The 23,955-nt window shown below is 58.0% G+C and overlaps 1 protein-coding gene across 9 annotated transcripts in view; it reads right to left on the reverse strand.

The window, feature by feature from the left end:
- Positions 1-1,972: 1,972 nt before the first annotated feature.
- TOLLIP (toll interacting protein) overlaps positions 1,973-23,955 on the reverse strand; it is a 35,262-nt gene continuing 13,279 nt past the window's right edge. For 3 of the 9 annotated variants that reach the window (NM_019009.4, NM_001318514.2, XM_047427134.1), the window contains 5 exons: positions 23,247-23,396; positions 17,829-18,011; positions 16,226-16,378; positions 13,604-13,694; positions 1,973-4,855 (listed from right to left, as the gene is read on the reverse strand). In NM_019009.4, coding sequence (NP_061882.2) covers positions 4,641-4,855; positions 13,604-13,694; positions 16,226-16,378; positions 17,829-18,011; positions 23,247-23,396 — 792 coding nt within the window. In that variant the 3' untranslated portion in view covers positions 1,973-4,640. Of the gene's footprint in view, positions 4,856-10,559; positions 11,200-13,603; positions 13,695-16,225; positions 16,379-16,497; positions 16,922-17,828; positions 18,012-23,246; positions 23,397-23,955 lie in introns of those variants that run through there. The other 6 variants (XM_047427135.1, XM_047427136.1, NM_001318512.2 and 3 more) reach the window with 6 other exon arrangements.

The following is a 23,955-nucleotide window of genomic DNA, read 5'->3' on the forward strand; positions in this document are numbered from 1 at the left end:
CGCCCCTCCCCAATCTCATCCCCCAGCGAGGGCCTGGGATGCTGCGGCAGGGTGGAGGGAAAGAGAAGTCGTCTCTTTCGGAGCCAGGTAACCATGGAAACCTCGAGAAGGCTGGAAACCCCCGGAGTTCAGGGACCCGCAGGCGGCCAGCGACCCCCTCACCCCTCAGCGCAGCGGCCCCCGGGGGGTCCGCACGATGGATGCGCGCGTGGGAAGCTACTTTCCCCGAGTTCATTAAATGAGCTCTGAACAAGCCTATCCGGAAGAAGTTCCTTGGTAAGTCCCAACACGAACAGCCAGGAAGCCTCTAGAAGGAGAAGCCGGGCGCGGGCCAGGCCTGCGGGAATGCAGGAGGAGGGGGTGCCGGGAAGGCCAGGCCGGGCCCAGGGATCCGGGGGCTGCGAACGCGCCGCACAGTGAGGGTCGGTCCATCCTGCGCAGCGGGCCTGGTGCCTCCAGTGGGGTCCGTGATGAAGGGCAAAAAAAAAAAAAAAAAAAAAAAGGAAAATACGTGAGAGAAGAGCCTTTCAAACCTGAATGTGGAAAAACTTTCCTAATGATAAACAGAAATCCAGGAACGATAAGGAAAAAGATGAACACGTGACAACATTAAAAAAGAAAATTTTACACGGGACAAAATCATTAGCAACATAAACAAATGATAAAGCAGGGAAAGAACGTGCAGTGTATATCGCGCAGTTACCGTCTATAACGTGAAAAGAGCCGAGGAGACAAAAGAAAAAGGCAGCCCCACGGGAAACACGGGCCCGGAATGCAAGGCTGTGCTCAAACTCGCTCCTAAAAAAAGAAATCCTGACTGGGCGCGGTGGCTCACACCTGGAATCCCAGCACTTTGGGAGGCCGAGGCAGGTGGATCATGAGGTCAGGAGATCGAGACCATCCTGGCTAACACGGTGAAACCCCGTCTCTACTAAAAATACAAAAAAATCAGCCGGGCGTGGTGGCGGGCGCCTGTAGTCCCAGCTACTCGGGAGGCTGAGGCAGGAGAATGGCGTGAACCCGGGAGGCGGAGCTTGCAGTGAGCCAAGATCGCGCCACTGCACTCCAGCCTGGGTGACAGAGTGAGACCCTGTCTCAACAAAAAAATAAATAAATAAATAAAATTAAAAAATAAAAATACAAAAAATAAAAAATAAAGAGATCCTAACTGCAGCTGCACCAAGACAGCACTGGGACAGAGAGGCCAGACCGGCGATGGGGACGCCCGGCGATGGGGACGCCCGGCGATGGGGACAGGGCACCAGGAAGCAGGTTGGGATTTGGGCAGGGGAGGCGGGTCCATCTTTGCTCAGGAGTCCCACGCCCAGGGGTCTTTTCCACAGAAGAACTGATGCCATCAGTCATAGCCACAGAGGTAACGGCTGGAAGTTTGCTGTGGAGTCAACACTGCAGAAAGGCCACATTCAGGTGGAGGCAGGGAACCGGCGGGCATGCCTCGGGGGTTGGGCAGCAGAGAGGGGGCAGACACCCCACCGTGTCCATGGACGCTCCAGCAACGCGTCCGTGCCCGGGTGCCAGGGTGGCTCGGGGTCTCTAGAGTGCTGCTCACATTTATGGGCGCTTTGCTCCCTAAGCATGAGCCAGTCATCACTAGGGGCTCAGACTCCTGAGATGGGGGTGCCACGGTCCCAGTGGGCTCTCTCAGAACGGGGTCGTGTTCCACGCTCACTCCCAGATGGAAATGGCCTGGAAATGAAAAGGCACCACAGAACCACCCAGTGGGGAGAGGGTGCCTGGGCTGGAAGAGCAGACCCACGCCCACTGCCACTGTTGAGGGAGGAGCACCTGGGACTTCCCTCCTCTAATTCAATCTGGGAAGCAAAGGCCAGGCTTGGTCTGAAGGTGTAAGGTTCCTGCTCCCAGTCTGTTGACGAGTGAACTCTGATTCTGACTGATTCGTTACTCCTGCGTATTGTGAATTAAGTTAAAAAATACTCGGGAACAAACATGGTAAACCTTCCCTTAAAGGACTTTATTTCTCTATTTTTATATGGATCATTTATTAAATTAGAAGACTAAAAAGTAAAAATATATTTTACAATCAAAGAAAAATCTGGACAATGGACCCCAGTAAAATAATCAGAAGCGCACGTTCTGAGACCACTCCTGCCTGGCACCCTGCAGGGTAGCGCCCAGGGAGCATCTGCAGAGGGGAGAGGAGAGGAGGGGGAGCCTCCGGCGACCTGTCTTCTATCTCCGGAGCCCCGCCTGAGGCTCCAAGATGGCACAGTCAGGCTGTCCTTAGTGACCGCTGCCACGGAGCTGGCGATCGGCCTGCATCTTCAAACCCAGGAGCAGGAGCAGCAGAGGCTGGCAAGGCCTGGGCCCTCAGACACCAGGGGCCTAAACCCAGCTCCCAAACCCACTGCAGCCTCCCCTTGTGAGCTGGCAGACAAGCCTGTCCTTCTGAGTGTGACGACCTCATCCACACCTGACACAGGCGGGGGCGGGGGAGGGTGGGGGTTGTGAACCAGCTAATTCTGGGGACCGCTCGGAGGGGCTCAGCAAGCTGCTTCTACAGTAAGCCACTTCTACAGTAAGCCTTCAAACAGGAAATAAAGCATAAAATGAAGGAAAGAAGAATCTTATTTAATTAAAGGCCTTGCAAAATGTGATTTGTCTATTAAAAAAATAAAGCGCTTGTGAAAAAGAAAACTAAGAGATGGCGGCAAGCGTGGTCATCGGCAAAGGGTTGCTCTCCCTCCAGCGAGGCTGGCCCCCACTGTGTGGGTCCCTCGGGCCCCCACACGGGCTGCTCAAGGGCTGGCAGCAGGGGCCACGTCCTCTCTAGGAGACACCCACAGAGCCACATGTGCACGCGTGTGGCAGTCTCACTGCACCCCAGCAACGCGAAGGCAGAAACCGGTGCTGGTGGCCACACCTGGGCGCCTGGACACCGAAGCCCCCAGCACAGTGAGGCCTCTGAGTGTGGCTTGTGGTCTGTCCTGGGTTAGAGTTGTTAATATCACGGAACATACCATCTAGAACGTTCCAGTCCCGCCTGACACCTTCATTCCCAATGGAGAAGAAATCTACACAGGCGTAAGACCAGGCCATCTGAGACAGGGAATCCCAGGGGCCCCTCCGTCTGAGTGGTCGGCGTCTGCTGAACAAATACCATGTCTTTCTTCTTCAAAGGATCAAAGGCCTTTAGGACCCACAGCTGAAGAAGGCGCCTGCTGCCAGCATGTCCCTCCCCCACGGCCACCACACACTTCAAGTTTACAAAAATAAATATTTATCAACAGTATATTTGACAAAAACCACCCCCAATCGATGGCAGAAAGCAGTATTTTCTAGCTGGCACTGAAACTTAACCTATTTTTTTGAGGGAGAAAAAGACTAAAATGTAAGCACTAACTTCCTCCTTCTGCATCTTCCACAGAAGACCCACTTGTGGGCATTCTCTTTCTGTCCGTTATCAGTGGGTTTACATCCGAAGGCCGGCGGCAAGACACTTGAACCACAAACACCAGACATGCAGGTGTCTCAATGGCATGCAGATTATTTAAAGTGCATCACTTGTGAGAAGCTTCTCAAATTTCTGACTGTCATAACCAGGTGTCACCTAAAATCTGTCCTGTAGGCCAAGATGCTACACGCAGCGCCCAGGCAGTCAGAGGTAAGTGAGCGCCTCCCGCCTCAGAAAGCTTTTACAGGGCCACGCTCGCCAGGCTTTCCTCGCCCACGCTGAACCCACGTCCTGGGCACAGCAGCTCCCAAGCTGTCAGCAGTCGGCTGGCAGTGCCACCACACCCTCTCGGAATCATGCACAGTGCTGCCTCTATCACCTCTCACCCCAGCCTCGCAAGGCCTGTTGAGAAGAGAAGCTCCCTGGGAGGACACCCACGGAGCTGGCACGAGCGCAGCAGGAGAGACGGACGGCAGCCTCCGGCGGGCGAAGGACCCGGCTTCAGATGCCCGCTGGCTGGCAATCAGGCAGAGCCTGGCCAACCGTGCCAGGCCCCCTTCCTCACTCCAGGTGTGGGTTCATTCTGCCTTCAGGCCGGAGTCTGTCACAAGGCTGGCTGGACAGTGGCCAGGTGAGCCAGGCCAGAGGCCGGCCCCACACCATCCACAGGAAGCTGCTCAGCTCACCAGACCCAAGCCCTGGGCAGGGGCCAGGCTCACAGCAAAGCGCGTTAGGGCAAGGGCGTGAGTTTTCGTCTGGGAAGTTCTAAAAAAAACCCACAGTGTGAGGGATTGTGTGTGCCTTAAATCAACAGCTCTATTCCAATTACATCACATCACAAAATGCCATGAATGGAATCGGAAGGCGCTCCACCACCTCCAACACCCTGGCAGAAGCAGCTGCTCTCTACAGCAAGAGCATTTTCCAGAACGGCATGAGAAGGAGAGACGCACGTCCCAGGGACAGGAGAGCGCGCTGAGACCTCCCAGCACGAGATGGGAGGGGAGCCCCCGCCCCGTCCTGGACCGCCAGGAACCGAAAACCCACATGCACCCAAGAACAGGTGTGGACGGGGCGGCACAGAAGTCCACGGGAGGGGGCGACACGGGTGCTCTTTCACGGGAATCTTGTTGGGACAGCATTCCTTGGGGAGCGCCGGGTCGGCGTGTCCAAAGAGCGGGGGCAAAACGGCATCGAGGCAGAGGCTCTATGGCTCCTCCCCCATCTGCAGCAGGGAGTTGATGGCGGCATCCTTGTTCCCTCGCTGGGCTTCCAGCACGGAGCGGATCACCTCCTGGTCCATGTTGGGGAACATGTCCTGGATGGCTTTCAGGTCCTCCTCGCTACAGCGGGGCTGGGCGTTCACGGCGGCCGGGGGCAGGGCCACGGGCACCATGCCGGGGCTACAGACAGCGGGCATCCCTGGAAGCAAAGATCAAGTTTGGTAAAAACGTCGGAAAGTTCCAGAAGTGCCACACTAGCTCCTGCTGAAGGAAGAAAACAACGCATCCCACCGGCCTCCCTGAGGAAGGGGCCACCTCGGGTCTCAGCAAACACCAGTCCCGCAAGACACCCTGGAAAGGCAAACCCCCAAACAGCAACCCCAGGCACAGCCACGGGGAAGGTGGGCAGGGCCCTCTGTGACGCCTCCTTCACTAACTCATCTTCCTTCCATATAAAAATCAAAGTTTGATCTTTCAAATCTCACCCGAGTCTGTTTTATAACTAGCAGGCTGGGGGTGGTGTTTTGATCCCTTCAGAACTCGTGAATTTGCACTGCACACGCTCGTCTTCACTGACCAGTGGGCTCACAGAGTCCTCTGCATCTGGGGACGGACTACACGGAATGTCACGCCCGCTGATCCAAACACTGCACGGTCTGAGCCTCTTCCTTTATCAGGCATTCTAGAAGATGCTTTTGCAGCTTGGCAAGTGTGTCACTAAACTGTGTGCCGGTGGGGAACAATCACCACAGGCACTGAAGACCTCAGCAAAGCTGCAGCCGATGCCCAGAATGACAACCCCACACACACATACAAACTACACCAAGAAAATGCTCACAAAACTCAAACAAGTGGGGCAGCAGGTGCGGTGTACAGTGGACCCTCAGTGCACTGGGGCCACCGTCCAGGGTTCCTGGCATCTCCACCCCACAGCTACGCAGGCCCCTCGCCCCATGTCTGATGCGGGAGGACACACTGAGATGCAATCTATCGAGCAGGAGACGCACGGCGGTTCAGCCACTGCAGCACACACACCCCTGAAGGCACCGTGTGGCCGGACTTAAGACTCGCCTCCCAGCCTGGTGGCCGCTCCCTAAAACCACGAGCAGCCCTGAGCACAGGCAGCGTGCGCGGGGCTCAGCGACCAGTGAGGCACAGAGCACAGGCAGCGTGCGCGGGGCTCGGCGACCAGCGAGGCACAGAGCTCCTCCTGCAGCAGCAGCTGCAGCAGTGCAAGGGTTCACTGCTCACCCGTTCATTCACCTTTAAAAGCACGAACCATCTCCCAGCTAGGATCACTGGAGCGCTAGAGCCCCAATCTTAGGATAGGACTTTTGTTCCTTTCTACACTTGGAGGATCCTAAAGGCAGCAGAAGCCACTTCAATCCTGGCCTGAACCAACACCAGCAACAAGACCTGCAGGGGTGTAAACGGAGCAGACAGGGCTTGCCACCAAGCCTCCTGCACCTGCTGCAAAGGCCAGGACTCCTCAGCAAGGAAGGCCACCGCTTCCCGGCTCCTTCTAGGCCAGGCCGACTCTTCCTCCACACCCACCCCTGCCTCCTCTGCTTCTCGGCTCTCTCAGGGCCAGGCCCACCTTTCCTCCACACCCACACCTGCCTCTTGTCCTGGCCACTGGACACCTCACCTCACTGGGGAAGCATCATCCCCATGCTCATCAGCCTTTCGGCAATGACGGAAAACGAACCGAACCATGGCCAGGTGGGGACGTGGCCACCCTCACCACCCTTTCTTCTTCCTCAAACAAGACAAAGGCTTGGGCGCTGTCTGTCCTGGAGGGACCCCTGGGATCCCCGTGGCTTTTTGGGCGCCCCGGCTGGCAGGCGGGCAGGAACTTGGCCATCACCTGTCCCTGCCCATACAGCTCCCCACAGCATGGCAACAAGAGGAATGGGGCTCGGCCATCGCCTGTCCCTGCCCACACGTCTCCCCACAGCGTGGCAACATGAGGAACGGAGGCACCGTGCTCCCACTCTCTCCAGCCTTTACCAGTCTGATGGGGAAGGGACAGGAGGAGGGGAACTGCTGCAAAATCGATGACGGTGGCTGTGACGCTGCGACGTCACGGCCTGGGGTGTCCCGAGAAACCTGCTCTGCTGACAATGAGGGGATGTGGCGCCGACTGGCCCTCAAGTGAATCCCAACAGCACGGCCCCAACACACTCACTTGGGGAGCAGGCACCCCCGGGGGAAGAGGTGGGTGCTTCCACGGTGTGGGCTGAGGGGCAGTGGCCTGGCTCACTCCCCTCCTTCCTGCAGGGCAGAGGCCATGTGCCTGGCCTGAGCCGGCCCATCCTGGTTACCAAGCACGGATGTGTCCATCAAGCCCTCCGGGAACGGTGAGCGTATGTGTCAAGGCTGCCTGGGGACTTCAGGAGGACAGACCAGGAGCTCTGGGGCCTGGCGGAGAGCAAAGTCCCCAAAATGTGGGCAGAGAGGACGCCATGGGAGCCCGGGGCAGCCCAGAGCCCACCTGTAGCGGCCCTGGGAGGAGTGATGGGCGGCTTTGCTGTGTCCCTGCCATCTGCCGCGCTCAGCCCCACCAGCCACCTGCACGCACGCGGACGGATGTGCAGCACAGGACAGGCCCCACCTCACGTTCTTCACGCCGTGTGAATCTGCTGTCATATCTTGGCAAAATCAAATTCTCTACTGACAAACACAAGGATACCCAGGAAAACCAAAACTTGTCCCTTTTCCATTCAGGAAAAATTGCTCCGAGAAGGCCCTGATCTCAGACCACGCAGCATGGTAAGTCCCGGCCGCCGGTGGGCAGGGGAGCATCAGCCCTGCTCAGGCTGAAGGCATGTGGCCCTGGGCTCCAGACGTCTCGCACCACAGTGGAAAGACATCCAAAGAGCAGGTGGGGACGACCGTCCAGCTCAGAGACTGTTCCGGAACTCCCAAGGCTTGTTGCTGCTTCTCACTCCACAGAGCGTTATCACAAAGAAGAAAACCTACGTGATTCTTTGTTTCAAAGCGACCAAGTTAGCGGGTTAATAAACACAACAGCAGAGAGTTCCATGTGATAGTTTGTCTCGGAAACTTTTAAGCATCCAATTCTCATTTTGAATGGAACCATTTCGTATTTTAAATGGCATGTGCTGCTCAGCTGCAAACTCCCTATTCGCTGGAATTCCACGTGCGAGGGGAAGCATGCCTGGGCCGCTGGGTGAGCCCTTGGCTGGCCCTCTCTGGAACTCACAGGCGCTGCGAACGCCGGCTGCTCCCGTGCATGGTGCCACCGCGTGCACGTTCTCTATGGGCCTCCCCCTTGTCCATCCCAGCAGCGGCGTCCACCTGCGTGTTTTGCTTTCATACTTTGTGGACGGGCATTCATGTCCTGGTCTGGTTGGCTCCACAGAAACCAGTGGGGGTTGTGCCCACAGAGACGCAGGCCAGGATGACGGGAGGGACTGCGCCGGTGAGGACGTGGGGGCAGCAGAGAAAAGAGAGAAGCACTCCAGGCCCGTGTGAAATGGAGGTGCACGAGGGAACAGATGGAAACAGCGTCAACGGGCAGCTGCAGCCACGGTGAGCACAGAATGAGCTCATGCACACCCTGGTGCTGCCTATGCGGGCCAGGCTGGGGAGGCGCCGGACGCCCCACTTTCCAGGCCGATTCTCCTCCCACCACCAAGCAGAAGGAGGTGGAAAGCAACAGGAGGAGGGAAAGTGAGGAGGGCCCCAGAGGACAGCGCGGCCGGCACCACCTTCCACCTCAGCGCCTGTCAGTCTCGTGGGGACCCTCAGGGCAGACCCCTGGCAGTGGCTGCAGCCCGAGTGCCCCTCTGTGCCAGGGACAGCTGAAGGGACAGTGCAGGCAGGGCTGAGGCCCAGTGGCACCCGCGCTGGTCTCTCACGCACGAAGAACGCACGGGAAATTGAGCAGTTGGCTGCTGTTGCCAGCCTGGCGGAGAGTCTCTGTCCACTCTGCAGCTCCGTGGAAGAGAACATGCTTCATGAGGCCACGCGGTCTCCAGATGCTTCACGCCTAGATGTTTCCTTAAAATTGAGGCTAAAAAACCCCCTATAACCACATGATGCCTACCACGAATTATTTGAAATCTGTAAAGTATCTAATTTGGTAATCAAAATAATACTTTGTTTAAAAAAATCAAAACTTAAAACTGTTCTCTTCGGGCCATGATCATGGCGTAAAAGCTTTAATAATCAAGCTGTGCTTCGTGTTCCAGCCTCCCTTCCTCACTGATGCGGTCACACTTTATTTTTGTGAAGGAGATGGTCTGACCTCAGCGCCCCGGCTTCTGAGTTGCTTTGTGGGGGACTCTGGTTTTTCACTGAGGAAAGTGGACGGTCCTCGTGAGGGCTCAGCCAGCATTCAGCCCTCAGTCTCCAGCTTGCACTCTCCATAGAGGTGGCAGCTGGGCTCAGACACCACGGGAGGCTCTCGGGGCCTGAGCCCACCTAATGTGCACAGTGAGCCCCCGAGACCTGCACCCTGTGCGGGGGTCTCTGGGCAGCGATCAGCAGGCGACAGCTGAATGAACGAGCGGCTGAAGGGGCTGGCGAGAAGCAGGGCCCTAAGAAGCCGGGCTCTCCTTTCCTGGCCCACTCCGGCAGCCCCGTCTCACCAGAGGGCTTGGCCAGGCCGCCCTGCGTGCACACAGGCCCGAAGCCACGCAGCCAGCACCGCGTAGCCAGGCAGAGCACGCGGCACAGGCTTCTCCACCATGTGAGTCATAAACACTTGAAACTGTGGGCGACACACATGCTCTGGCCAAGATGCACTTTGAGATTCCACTTCTGAGAAGAAAACCCTGGTGTGACTCCACCATGCTTGCCTAGTCGGCCCGAGACGCCCTGAGCACGCAGCCGCCAGCCTCTCCAAGGTCTCCGCAGACTTCGCCCTTCAGCTGGCAGTGGCTGCCGGGAGGATGGGCTGTGATCACAGGTACTCAGAAGAAAATTAGGGCATCAGCTTCCAGTGAAGAAGGGTGCCTTATTCACACTCTACAGTACTGCTAGGATAATTAAAAAATACTTCAAAGGCTCCTAAAAGCAGTGTTCTCCTAATGGGAACCAGGGCTCCTGGGAGAAACAGCTAACGCCAGGGCTAAGGCCGGAAATGCAGAGAGCCTGGGGCTTCCTGCAGTGCCAGGAAGCAGGGAGGGGCCCAGAGAAGGATCAGAGGAGGCCAAAGAACAAAGATCCCGCCTGAGGGGGCTCCCTCTGGCCAAATCTGGAATAATTTGAGTGAAAAAATAACATTCATAAGGGATTCTGACCCAAGGAAAAAAATAGGAAATTGTTTAGGAGAAATACCTAATGTTAAATGACGAGTCAATGGGTGCAGCACACCAACATGGCACACGGATACATATGTAACAAACCTGCACATTGCGCACATGTACCCTAAAACTTAAAGTATAATTAAAATAAATAAATAAATAAAATAGGAAATTGTTTAGGAGAAATACCTAATGTTAAATGATGAGTCAATGGGTCCGGCACACCAACATGGCACACGGATACATATGTAACAAACCTGCACGTTGTGCACATGTACCCTAAAACTTAAAATATAATTAAGATAAATAAATAAATAAAATAGGAAATTGTTTAGGAGAAATACCTAATGTTAAATGACGAGTCAATGGGTGCAGCACACCAACATGGCACACGGATACATATGTAACAAACCTGCACGTTGTGCACATGTACCCTAAAACTTAAAGTATAATTAAAATAAATAAATAAATAAATAAAATAGGAAATTGTTTAGGAGATATACCTAATGCTAAATGAGTTAATGGGTGCAGCACACCAACATGGCACATGGATACATATGTAACAAACCTGCACGTTGTGCACATGTACCCTAAAACTTAAAATATAATTAAAATAAATAAATAAATAAATAAAATAGGAAATTGTAAATCCACATTGCTGGGGAAGTCGGATAAACTCAGGGGCTGACAAGGGCGGGATCTTCACGTGGTCCTGGGGTGCCTCCCACACAGGACATATTTTAGTTCCCGGGGAACAGCCAGGCAGAGCCCGCCGTGAGGGACGAGCAAGTCACACCACTAGCCCTGCACTGGGTAAACCTGCGCTGGGTGGAATCTGCGGTGGTGGCATCTGCCTGGGTAAAATGCGGGGGCCCTGCCAGCAGCCCCGGGGAAACTCAGCCCTACCCTGCAAGGCCACGTCAGCAGCCCCACCAGGTCCCTGACCAGAACATACCCTAGGAGCAAGATGGGGACCCCTCCAGGCCAAGGGAGGCAAGGCCATGGAGGGCCAGTGACCCCGGCCTGGATGCTGCGGACTCAGACGGGCTCCAAGCAGGGTACAGCCCCAACGCGTCAGTGTCAGCTTCATCTAGATGGCCGTACTGTGCCAGGGACGCCCCTGCTTATTGGAAACGCATGCCTGGGCATGGGGGCTGGGGGCTCCGGTGGGGCGTCAGGTGGACGAGTCCTCACAGGCTCTGGCAGATGTTCCTGCATCTCCTTGGGAACTTTTCTATGAAGTGCGGGGCTGTTCCAAAATTTACAATGTCTATCAAAAGAAAATTTCAAAGTTTGTCTAGCCTTTCCTAAAATAAACGTTTTAGAGCAAACTTGAAAGGCATCTACAAAGAGAATTAGGGATAGGAACCAGAAAGAGGTAAGCCAATCAATGTTATCTGTCATCTGAATGCTCTTTCAGCCAGATACACCCTGGCGCTGTATCCAGTTGATGGAACTGCACCCCCCAAAAAGACAGCCACAGAGCGCCCGGCCCAGAAGTTGGAGGAGACGGGGAGGATCCTCCTCACAGCCTTGACGAGTGAGTGGCCCTGCCTACGGGGCTTCGACTTCCAGCCTCAGGAAGCTGGAGGGCCTGGGTCTCTGTTCTTTCAGGTTGGCCATTGGCCTCCAACTCAGGACAACCAGACAGAACTTCACTAGCCCCATGAACTGCACATCACAGAAGGCACTTTGACCCCACGACGGCGGCTCTGGGCTGTCCCAGTTACAAATCAGAACCTCCAGGAGCCACTCTGGGGGGCAGCCAGGGCGCATCAGGGCCCCCAGGGCAGCAGAGCTCCCCTGGCCAGGCTCCAGGCTCAGGAACAGCTGTGGGGCTCCCATGCTCGCCCCCGTTTCTCTGCCAAGGTGCTGGCTCTTCCACTTACCCAGATGCCCACCCTCCTCTAACTCTGAACGCCTCAAGGCTGCTTCTGCGTTTCTGGCTCACCTGTGGTCACCTCCTAGGAAGCATTCTTTCCTCGGTGACGGGGTGCAGGTGCTACCTCTGCTGGGCTGGTGGTTTTCTTTTTTTTTTTGAGATGGAGTCTTGCTCTGTCACCCAGGCTGGAGTGCAGTGGCGCAATCTCGGCTCACTGCAAGCTCCACCTCCTGGGTTCACACCATTCTCCTGCCTCAGCCTCCCGAGCAGCTGGGACTACAGGCGCCCACCACCGCGCCCGGCTAATTTGTTTGTATTTTTAGTAGAGACGGGGTTTCACCGTGTTGGCCAGGATGGTCTTGATCTCCTGACCTCACGATCTGCCCGCCTTGGCCTCCCAAGGTGCCGGGATTAGAGGCATGAGCCCCCACACCCACCCCCAGGCTGGTGGTTTTCTAAGACACTGGACACCACAGAGGCCCTCTCAGACACACGCTCTGCTCTTTCCTCTGGAGAAAGGCAGCCCTGGCACCTGCGCGGGCGGCTTCACATGGAAACAGAGTCTATAATGTGAGCAAGTGAGGGCGAGGCCATGCTGTTCTCACAGGCAGTTTTGTCCGAGAATGTCCTGAACACCAGTGGACAGCCCAGAGTCTCCCAGTGCCGTCTCCTCCTTCCCATCGTCAGGGCTGGGTTTCAGGCCACATCAGGTGGGTCTAGGGCGAGGTCCCGACTCCCAAGGTGGCCTTTCTGCATCTGTGCAGGATGCTGGCAGGACTGGGGTGCTGACCAGGCCTCTCCACTCCAGCTGGGCTGGACACCAGCACTGGCCTCACAGCACTCTCGCCTGCCAGCAGCTCTGTCCCGCCCCAACCCCAAAGCAGCCCCTGAGCACAAGCAGCCGGGGCCTCATGCAGCCCCGAGACCCTCCCCTAACACCACCTCCCCCAACACCACCACGCATCCCTAGCGCCCTGCCCGCAACTTGGCCACTTCCATGGCCTGGGCCTCTGGCCTCCACCCTCCGTGCAGAGGGACCAGTGCTCTGCCTGGACACCAGCTCCCCAGAACGAGAGAGGCCACCTCAGCAGGAGAACCAGGGTGACCACAGGCTCCCCCCTAGCACCTCCTCTCAGGGGCTGCGGTCTCCCCGCCTGCTAAAGACGGCTGGGCCCATCCATGGTGGGGGCCGGTCTTGCACCAGCAGCTACCACAGTCACAGCTGGACCGAAAATGCAACAGCATGAAAAGCGACATCCCAGCTTGGTGTTGCTGCAGCCACAGGCTGCTCACTCCTAACAGTGACACACGACAACAGACGCAACAGCGCAGTAGAGAGCACGCATCACCCAACAGGAGCGTGAGGTTCAGACACAACGGCGCAGCGCAGGGCACGCGTCACCCAATGGGCGTGAGGTTCGGACACGACGGCACAGTGCAGAGCACGTGTCACCTGACAGGGGCGTGAGGTTCTCCTGCACAGAGCTGGGCACAACGGGGTTTCAAAGCCACATTTCCACATCTCTGAAAATTTCAACTCACCTCATTTCTGCCAACAATTAGAAAAAAAAAAAAAAAACAATTCTATTTTCTAGATATGCAAACAAAATTCAAACGTAAGCCTTGGCTTCCTGGCCTGAAAGGATCTGTGTGCGGTCAGCACGTCTACAGGATTCTAGAATGGATGACGTCCCCACCCCGGCGCTCTAAGCCCCGTTCCCTCCTCCCGCACCTGCCCTAGGCCCTGGGGTTTCTACCAGGGGAGAGGCACCCAGGGAGGGAGCACACGCACCTGTGATGGGCACATAGCCAACGCCCTGCTGGTACACTGTTGGCATCAGGACCACGGGCTGGGGTGGCATCACCATGGCAGCTGGAAGCAGCTGAAACACAGCGGAGATGGTCCCGGGGTCAAGGAGGAACATCCACCCATCAGAACCTCGGGAATCGCCCTCCCCACAATTGCCCTCCCCACGCCAGCCCAGAATCGCCCTCCCCATGCCAGCCCAGAATCACCCTCGCTACACGAGCCCTGAGTGCACAGGGGACGCTGGGCCCTGCTCCCACCCCTGCACCACCTCCTCAAATCCAGGAGGTGACATGGCTCGGGCTTACAGACCCCCTTCTAACTGGGATGTGACTGAGAGAGGATGGTGACAGGAGGGACATCCCAGTGTAGGTGTCGAGTCGGCCTGGGGGGAACCACACTGCACTGCTGTGGTGTCTGAGTTTGAAAGTGTCAACTTCACATAAGTCACTGCACTGCTGTCAACTCTGAGTTCAAAACTGTCCACTGTGGATAAGTCACTGCACCACTGTCACCTCTGAGTTCAAAACTGTCAACTGCGGATAAGTCACTGCACCGCTGTCGTCTCTGAGTTTAGTTCAAAACTGTCCACTGCGGATAAGTCACTGCACTGCTGTCTCCTGAGTTCAAAACTGTCAACTGTGGATAAGTCACTGCACCGCTGTCATCTCTAAGTTTAGTTCAAAACTGTCCACTGTGGATAAGTCACTGCACTGCTGTCTCCTGAGTTCAAAACTGTCCACTGCGGATAAGTCATTGCACTGCTGTTGTCTCTGAGTTCAAAACTGTCAACCGTGGATAAGTCACTGCACTGCTGTCGTCTCTGAGTTTAGTTCAAAACTGTCCACTGCAGATAAGTCACTGCACTGCTGTCTCCTGAGTTCAAAACTGTCCACTGCGGATAAGTCACTGCACTGCTGTTGTCTCTGAGTTCAAAACTGTCAACTGTGGATAAGTCACTGCACCGCGGTTGTCTCTGAGTTCGAAACTGTCAGCTGCGGATAAGTCACTGCACCACTGTCGCCTCTGAGTTCAAAACTGTCAGCTGCGGATAAGTCACTGCACCGCTGCCGTCTCTGAGTTCAAAACTGTCAGCTGTGGATAAGTCACTGCACCGCTGTCTTCTGAGTTCGAAACTGTCAACTGCGGATAAGTCACTGCACCACTGTCGTCTCTGAGTTCGAAACTGTCAACTGCAGGTAAAATCACTGGAGCGTCATGATGGTTCTGTGTTTGTATGAAAGCGTCTGTTAAAGACGTGTCATGAGACATTTACACATCGTCACTCACGGCCGGGACATGATTTAAAATATCCCAGCTTTAACAAAAAGGGGGTGGGAGGAGCCAAGATGGCCCAGAAAAGCAGCTCCCTGCTGCTGCCTCCCCGCCGCAGCCTCCCCGCCGCACCCTCCCCGCCGCAGCCTCCCCGCCGCACCCTCCCCGCCGCAGCCTCCCCGCCGCACCCTCCCCGCCGCACCCTCCCCGCCGCAGCCTCCCCGCCGCAGCCTCCCCGCCGCAGCCTCACCGCCGCAGCCTCCCCGCCGCAGCCTCCCCGCCGCACCCTCCCCGCCGCAGCCTCCCCGCCGCACCCTCCCCGCCGCAGCCTCCCCGCCGCAGCCTCCCCGCCGCACCCTCCCCGCCGCAGCCTCCCCGCCGCACCCTCCCCGCCGCAGCCTCCCCGCCGCAGCCTCCCCGCTGCACCCTCTCTGCCGCAGCCTCCCCGCCGCAGCCTCCCCGCCGCACCCTCCCCGCCGCAGCCTCCCCGCCGCACCCTCCCTGCCGCAGCCTCCCCGCCGCAGCCTCCCCGCCGCACCCTCCCCGCCGCAGCCTCCCTGCCGCACCCTCTCTGCTGCAGCCTCCCTGCTGCACCCTCCCTGCTGCACCCTCTCTGCTGCACCCTCTCTGCTGTCACATCTGCCTGGCATTTCCCACAGCACCATTTTTCAGTAACAGCCTGAAAATCCTCTGGTTGATGATACAGACGAGACGGCAGGAGCTCTGCGTCTTGGAGCCTCTAACTGGCCCTCCTGATGCCCCCAGGAGCTGCAGGTGCCCTGAGAATGGAGATGGCTGGGAGCCAGGGCGCTGACGTGCTGGCCCCACAGCCAGGCCTCGACTTCCTGACCCTGAGCACAGCAGCCCCCAGGCTTCCCCGACATCTCCAGAGATGCCCTGCCACACCACGGCCAATGCCTGCCCTGTGGGGAGGAGCCTGGTGTCCTGCAGGGCCCAGGGCTGTATCTCAGACCCTGGAGGGCTGCTCAGCTGGACCCTAAGGGCAGAGCTTGGAAGGGCTGTGGGGGTCCTCCGAGGACACAGGGGCCTGCAGTGGAGACCACCACAAAGGGTTGGCTCATCTTAGGAACACAAACAACCCCTATGCTGTTTCCCCAGACAGAGAACATGGGCAGGAGCAGTGGGCAGGGCAGCCCCTCTCTGCCACCAAACCACCCAGGGCCCCTGCCCTCTGTCCTCAGAACGTGAGCCCTGCTGTTTTATGGGCTCAGTGCCTCCAGGAAAGAGACAAGGGTGTCTGTGGGGCGGCATAGCCCCGACGTGCTCCAACATACCCCAATGCGCCCCACCCCGCCCAGGCGTGCAGCTCACCGCGTAGGACATGACGAGGTTGATCATGCCCTCCTTGTCGTCCCCCTGCCTCCCGCTCAGGCTGTACCACTTGTCCTCCACCTTGCCCTGCCTCAGGGACTCCGGGATGGTGATGTGGGTCCAGGCAATGCGGTCGTCCATGGAGAAGGCTCTCTGCGGGAGACAAGAGGGAGAGGCCCCAGGCATCAGGGAAGGGGCCACCCTGCCCCTGCAGCCGCACCATCGTGGGCCCGCCTCGAGTCCCCGTCTTATCTGTGGAACAGGGCTCCCACCTGCACCAACACCCCATCGATGAGACCCCTCGGGCAGCGCAGGCTTCACGATCGTATATCAGCCTCCGTAGGGGACTTCTTCCCTCTCTCCACCAGGATGGGCCAGGGCCAGGGCCAGGGCCAGGTCTGGGGCTGGGGAAAGCGAGGGCCCTGGGCTGCTGTCCTCCTTCAGTTCCACTTCAGGGACACTGGCTGCTCCTCCCCAGCCCTCGGGGCCCCATCCTTGCTCCACCGGCTGCCACCTGTCAAGCCCCAGAGCAGCCGGGGTGCAGACTGGAAAGGACACGGGGTCTGCCTCCCACAGCTGACTCTGCACTTCCCATGCGCTCTCTACTCTTCTGAGGGCCAGGGAGGGGAAAGCAGGTAGGGACGGGGAGAGAAAAGCCGGGAGGAAAAGGCAGGGCCCAGGCAGGGAGGGCTGGCCGTCTGCTGGCCTGGCTGCCCCACACTGCTCCCCGGCCCCCACCCAGTCTCTAGCCTCACAATGCCACAGGTGCGAGGTGCCAGGACCACACTGAGCAGCAGCCTCGCCACATCCCCTCTGACCTTCTGACTCTGCCTCAGAAGCGCTGCAGGTGCAGCCACGGACGGGACTCAGGACCCTCAAGGGTCACGACCATTCGCACCACCAAGAACAGCTTTCCCACCCAGTAGGCAGCCGCACTCTCTGGAAATCCCACCTGCTGGTGAGCGGCCGGACCCTGTGCGCCCAGCGGGGCGGACACATGCACGCTCTGTCCCTGGAAATCCCACCTGCTGGTGAGCGGCCAGACGAGTGCCCAGTGGACACGTGCACACTCTGTCCCTGGAAATCCCACCTGCTGGTGTGCGGCAAGACCCTGTGCGCCCAGCGGGGCGGACACATGCATGCTCTGTCCCTGGAAATCCCACCTGCTGGTGAGCGGCCAGACGAGTGCCCAGTGGCGGGGGACACATGCATGCTCTGTCCCTGGAAATCCCACCTGCTGGTGAGCGGCCAGATCAGTGCCCAGCGGAGGGGACACGTGCACGCTCTGTCCCTGGAAATCCCACCTGCTGGTGAGCGGCCAGACCCTGTGCGCCCAGCGGAGGGGACACGTGCACGCTGTATCCCTGGGTCATGCTTGTCACTGGGGATGTTTCCAAATGTAAGTATGTTCAAGGAGCTGGAAACAATCCCTTTTTCACATTCCTTGGGGAGAGCAGGACCCTGTCATGCACCCAATGAAACACCAGGTGGGGAGCCACGCCTCGAAGCCAGCCAGGAACGTGGCTGTGTTGGCAGGTGTGTCCCCACGGCAGCCACGCTCAGCCACGTGCAGCCTCCATAATAGCTGGCACGTCCCTCTCACCTCATCGAAGATCTCGAGATAGAAAGAGTCCACGCCTGGGGGCACCGTGCAGTGGATGACCTTATTCCAGCGGGGATTCTTGGCGCCATTGTGTGCCGTGGGCGTCTCGTACACCGCGTAGCCCAGGCGCAGTCGGCAGTAGGGGTCCATGCGGGTCATGCCGTAATTCTTGGCCAACTTTGCCTGGAATGAAGCCAATGTCAGGAAAAGGAGGTGCCAACCATCAGGAGAGGGTGGGTTCTCTAGGCCGTCTGCCTCCCTGAACCCTTCCACGAGGCCTTTTCCTAACACATAGACTACAGCCACTCAGAGTCGCCTGAACACGGCTGTGACCTGCTTCCCAGGAGGCCAGGAGCAAGAAGAGTGAGCCACAGATGGATCGTGCAGTTCTGAGACAAAGCACGTGGCTCGTCCTTGACAGCAGAAACCTACGACGCTCACAGACACAGCTGAGGCCGCCACTCACCCACCATGAAGGGCGCACTCTCTAATGCCCTCCTCAGAAGTGGCTGAGGAGGGAAAGAGGAGGAGGTCCCGGGACAGAGCTGAGAGCCAGAGCATGACATGGAGTGTGAACCTGCCCCCGGAGCATGATGACCCGGGAGAGGTGCATCCTCGCTCTAGGTGAGAGTGAGGACACCTGCTGCACATAATTCAGACGCCACGTGGCTGCTTTCCTCCCTCGTGAAGGCAGCAGCCCTGCCTGTGCTATCGGAGTACGTGGGGTTTTGGGGACTGGAACTTGTCTTTCTTGTGTCTCCCAATCACAAGGAGCCACATCACATGTAGACCATGAGATTCGACTTCAGGCCAGGTGCTCAGCTGGGCAGGGACATTTGAGGTCCTCGGGGTGGGAGTGAACGTGTGTTCAGAATAAGACAGAAGACCGTGGCAAGTAAGATGATTGTTCAGCAAACAAACTCAACATGGATGGCAGGTTCAAATATAAAACCTAAAACTGTAAAACCTTTACAAGAAAAAACCAGGAGAAAAGCCCTCGTAAGCTGGGTTGGGTTCAGCCCTGCAGCTCCGGCTGCCTGTAAAGCGTCCTGCCTGGAATGCAGACGGCCTCCCTGTACCACTGCCACCCGCTCTCCTGCAGCCAACCCGGCTCACCCCCAGGAGCTGGTGATAGAGACCCCGGGAGCCATCCCGGCCCTCCCACCCACATGGAGCCCGCCAGTTCCTCCTTCCCAGTGGAACAGAGTCCAGACACTGCCCCCCGACCCCCTCTGAGGGAACGGCCAACCTGTCCACACCAACCCCCCTCTGAGAGTACTGCCACCCTGTCCTCACCACCCACCCCCCGAAGGCACGGCCACCCCATCCTCACTGACGCCCCTCTGAGGGCACGGCCACCCTGTCCTCACTGAACCCTCTCTGAGGGCACCGCCGCCCTGTTCTCACCGCACCCCTCTGAGGGCACGGCCGCCCCGTCCTCGCTGACCCCCCGCTGAGGGCACGGCCGCCCCGTCCTCGCTGACCCCCCTCTGAGGGCACGGCCGCCCCGTCCTCACCGACCCACCTCTGAGGGCACGGCCGCCCCGTCCTCACCGACCCACCTCTGAGGGCACGGCCGCCCCGTCCTCACCGACCCACCTCTGAGGGCACGGCCGCCCCGTCCTCACCGACCCCCGAGGGCACGGCTGTCCCGTCCACGCCAACCCTCGCCGCACAGCTGAACTCTCCCCTCCTGTGCCCACATCTCTGGACTGCCAGGTCCTCTGTTTTCTATTCTTGTCCACATACAAGTTCCCTCCTTTCACTTCTAATCAAAGCTGTGGCCGGTCCTTTTAGGTCAAAACTGCCCCATTCTTGGGTCCTTAATTTTAGCGTGTTTCTTGGGTGGCCACAGCGTACTCCGGAATGCTATGGAGTGACAGTTTTCCGGAAGCTCCTGGGCGACAGGCATGCTCAGCCTCTAGCAGCTTCCAATTCCCTTCTGCTGCACACCCACACATCTGCTAGATCAGCTCTTACACTCCAAACTCTGCCCCTGTAAACTCCTTAGCAACTGCCCTATTTTCTGGAGAGTATGTAGCAGGAAAGTCTGAGACCAGCATGATTTTCCAAAGCTTTCAGGTAACTGTGCTGTCTCTGCCTAGCTGCTATGACTTATTTTTATTAATAACTTTAAAGGCTTTGAGCAAAGCCAGCTTTCTGGGTGGCACATGGGACTCCCCTGCCAGCATGCCCGTGCCTGTCACCGATGCCTGCTCACATTGGATCCTGCCTGCTTCTGCCACACTCAGCGTCATCCTCTCATTCCCATCTCCTCCCACTGCCCTCTGCACTGTGGCTAGAAAACTCTAGGATGAGCGTCCTGTGACATCAACTGCTCTGCTGAAGTGACCTCCTCGATGTTTATGGAAGCATCTGCCCATTCACTATGACTGCACACAACCACATGCTGTTCTGGTGCAGGAGACACTGTGGACACCGTGGGGACACACGGGCACCGCTGCCTCCCCCACAACGGGCAAGAGACGCACGTCAGACAGCAGACACCGTGGGGACACACGGGCACCGCTGCTTTCCCCACAATGGGCAAGAGATGCGCGGCAGACACACAGCGCAGCAGACGGCGTTACCACTGCAGGGAGTGACCAGCTAGGAGGACCGGGTATGCGGGCTGCAGGATCTGGAGGAAGAGCTGCAGGAAGCGGGAGGAGAACGGCCAGGGAAGAGGAAGGTCAGGAGTGACTAGGGTGAGGAAAACATGGGCCCAGCTGGAGCAGGCTCGGCAGGACAGTGCCCACGAGAAAGGCCCACGCGGGAACGGACCTACTCTGGCCACGCTGCAGGGGCTGAGCGGGGGCAGTGGGTGGGTGCGGGGGGCTCCAGGCCTGGACGGGCTGAAGGTGGCGCCTGTGCTGAGGGTCAGGCCTGAAGGGCAAGAGGTGGACATGAACCTGGAGCACCAGCAGCACGAGGGCTTTGGGCCTCAGCTTCCAGAGTGTGGGGCAGCCACCTGCGGACACGGGGGAGAAGCCGGGAGGGTGGCCCGAGAGCTCCACCTTGGGCACACGGAGTCCGGAGTGCCCACGGAACACCTGGGGAGGCCATGTGGCCATGGTCCGTACCTAGGGATCTGGGGTGGAGCTGAGTGGTCGGCTCAGGCTGGGGCCAGCACATGGGTGTTTAGACCCACAGGGATGCAGAAGTCACCGGGATGTGTGGGCAGAGAGGGGAGGAGGGCTGAGGACCAGACCCCTTGGCATCCCACTGGGGCCCCAGGAGACAACAAGGGGAAGCAGCGAGGGGACGCAAGCAGGGAACCACCTGTGTGGCCGCCCAGAAGCCAAGAGAAGCAGGAAACAGGGGCTGAGCTACCTGGCCCAGTGAGGAGGCAGGAATGTTTCCCACCACTGGAGCTGCGCCACAGAAGGCTGGGTGAGCTCACGTGGAGGAAACAGGCTGCCTGTGGTGGGCTCCAGGGTGCGGGAGAGGACCAAGGGGGGCCAGAGGCGTGGGCAACGCCAGGGCCACCTCCAAGGCCCAGCCAGCTCTGGAGCTTGAACTGTGTGAGGTGGAGTGCCCTGCGGTCACCAGGCCCTGCCAGGAGGTGGCGGCTGAGGACGGGTGATGGCACTGGCTGGCCTGGTGGCAGCTGGCACAGGAATGCATGGGCTTACGGGAGTTCACTGGGTGGGCAGAGGGATCGGCCACACCAGCACAGTAACAGCTGCACAAGCAAGGGTCTGAGACACGCCGCGAGGAAGGGGTGACGGTGTAGCTGTGCTCACCACACCATGAAGCCCCTGAAAGCAAGTCTTATTTGTGAGGTCCACGGCGATTCTTCTGCCTGCTGTATTTGTGCATTTCTATGAAAGCCGCGTGGCTCACAGTGTGTCTCCTTTCCCTGCATTTCTACGAAAGCCCGCGTGGCTCACAGTGTGTCTCCTTTCCCTGCATTTCTACAAAAGCCCGCATGGCTCAGTGTGTCTCCTTTCCCTGCATTTCTATGAAAGCCGTGTGGCTCACAGTGTGTCTCCTTTCCCTGCATTTCTACGAAAGCCCGCGTGGCTCACAGTGTGTCTCCTTTCCCTGCATTTCTACGAAAGCCCGCGTGGCTCACAGTGTGTCTCCTTTCCCTGCATTTCTACGAAAGCCCGCGTGGCTCACGGTGTGTCTCCTTTCCCTGCATTTCTACGAAAGCCCGCATGGCTCAGTGTGTCTCCTTTCCCTGCATTTCTACGAAAGCCGCGTGGCTCACAGTGTGTCTCCTTTCCCTGCATTTCTACGAAAGCCCGCGTGGCTCACAGTGTGTCTCCTTTCCCTGCATTTCTACGAAAGCCCGCGTGGCTCACGGTGTGTCTCCTTTCCCTGCATTTCTACGAAAGCCCGCGTGGCTCACGGTGTGTCTCCTTTCCCTGCATTTCTACGAAAGCCCGCGTGGCTCACGGTGTGTCTCCTTTCCCTGCATTTCTACGAAAGCCCGCGTGGCTCACGGTGTGTCTCCTTTCCCTGCATTTCTACGAAAGCCCGCGTGGCTCACGGTGTGTCTCCTTTCCCTGCATTTCTACGAAAGCCCGCGTGGCTCACGGTGTGTCTCCTTTTCCTGCATTTCTACGAAAGCCCGCGTGGCTCACGGTGTGTCTCCTTTTCCTGCATTTCTACGAAAGCCCGCGTGGCTCACGGTGTGTCTCCTTTCCCTGCATTTCTACGAAAGCCCGGGTGGCTCACGGTGTGTCTCCTTTCCCTGCATTTCTACGAAAGCCCGCGTGGCTCACGGTGTGTCTCCTTTCCCTGCATTTCTACGAAAGCCCGCGTGGCTCACGGTGTGTCTCCTTTCCCTGCATTTCTACGAAAGCCTGCGTGGCTCACAGTGTGTCTCCTTTCCCTGCATTTCTACGAAAGCCTGCGTGGCTCACAGTGTGTTTCCTTTTCCTGCAGTCTTACAGACGGTTTTCGTGTGATCAAAATCGGCGTTCAATCTGCCGATTTTGGCTTTCACTTGAAAGACCACTAAGCAACCACGGGCCGGCCCCGAGGCTGACCGAGGGCTGCTCTGTGGGGAGGGAGGGTGCAGGCACCGGCACTGAGGCCAACAGGAAGCCACTCACGCAGCACACACCAGGTGGCGGGGGTGCCGGCCGCGCCTCCTCCAGCTGCCGGCGGGGGTCCGGGAGGTGTCCTTGGGCGTACTCAAGCCTGGTGGAAGAGCCAGGCCCTACACAGAGCAGACGCCCACCTACACCCACTACTCATCACTTGAGTTATGTTTGGTAGAACCCGGGGTCAATGCCAATATCTTTCACACAGATCGTTTTCAACATCACACAGGTTTCAGGAAAAGCGGGAATCAGAAGTTCTGTTTGCCCGCTTAGGAAATGCAGTATAAACGCCGAAATCCGAAATCCCACCCCCACCGAGCGCACCAGCCCCAGGCAGGCAGGAGGGTGCCCCAAGGCCCACCTGTACCACCGTGATGTTCAGTCGGCCCACGGTGCCCACTGCGCCTCCGTACTGCAGCTGCTGGGCCGCCTGGGCGTCCAGCTGGACCTGCCGCTGCTGCTGTGTGGGCGTGATGCGGAGGAAGTCCTGCGGGAGCTCACCGATGTACACCTGCGGGGCCGGGGACCAGAGAGGCCAGTGAGTCAGGGTGGGGGCACAAAGCAGCCCGACAGCAGCTGCCCCCGGCATTCCCGCGGCCCCGCCCCCACCCATGTCCTTATCAAGTCCTGGACTGTGCTCAGCCTCAGTTTCCTCATCTCTAAACGGAGGGGTCAAGGGTGTCCAGCCTGGGGCCTGGCCCCCAGCGGTACAGGTGCAGCCCTCACTCAGGAGATCCCCAAATGCAGGTTTCTGCCGCTAAAAATGGGTTCCTGTCCTCAAAGCCTGCTCAGGTGGGTTTTCAGGTCATTTTAAAGGGTCTCCCTTGCACCATGTGTGCCCACGGCTTCTTTCTCCTTGTCCACAGCTAAAGGCAGGGCCACTGAACTGCAGGTCACTTGGTCAAACGAATGAGACAAAAGCTGAGCCTCAGGTCTAAAGTGATTTGGAAAACCCTCTGCTGATATACTTCAAATGTTTCCACATGAAACAGCTGAAATTCAAAAGTATCCCAGAAGAACGCAGGAAGTAAATCGATTCCAAACAACCACGAAAGACCTCCCCACTCTGC

The sequence above is a fragment of the Homo sapiens genome, chromosome 11, assembly GCF_000001405.40.
Source record: "Homo sapiens chromosome 11, GRCh38.p14 Primary Assembly".
In the NCBI taxonomy this organism is placed as follows: Eukaryota; Metazoa; Chordata; class Mammalia; order Primates; family Hominidae; genus Homo; species Homo sapiens.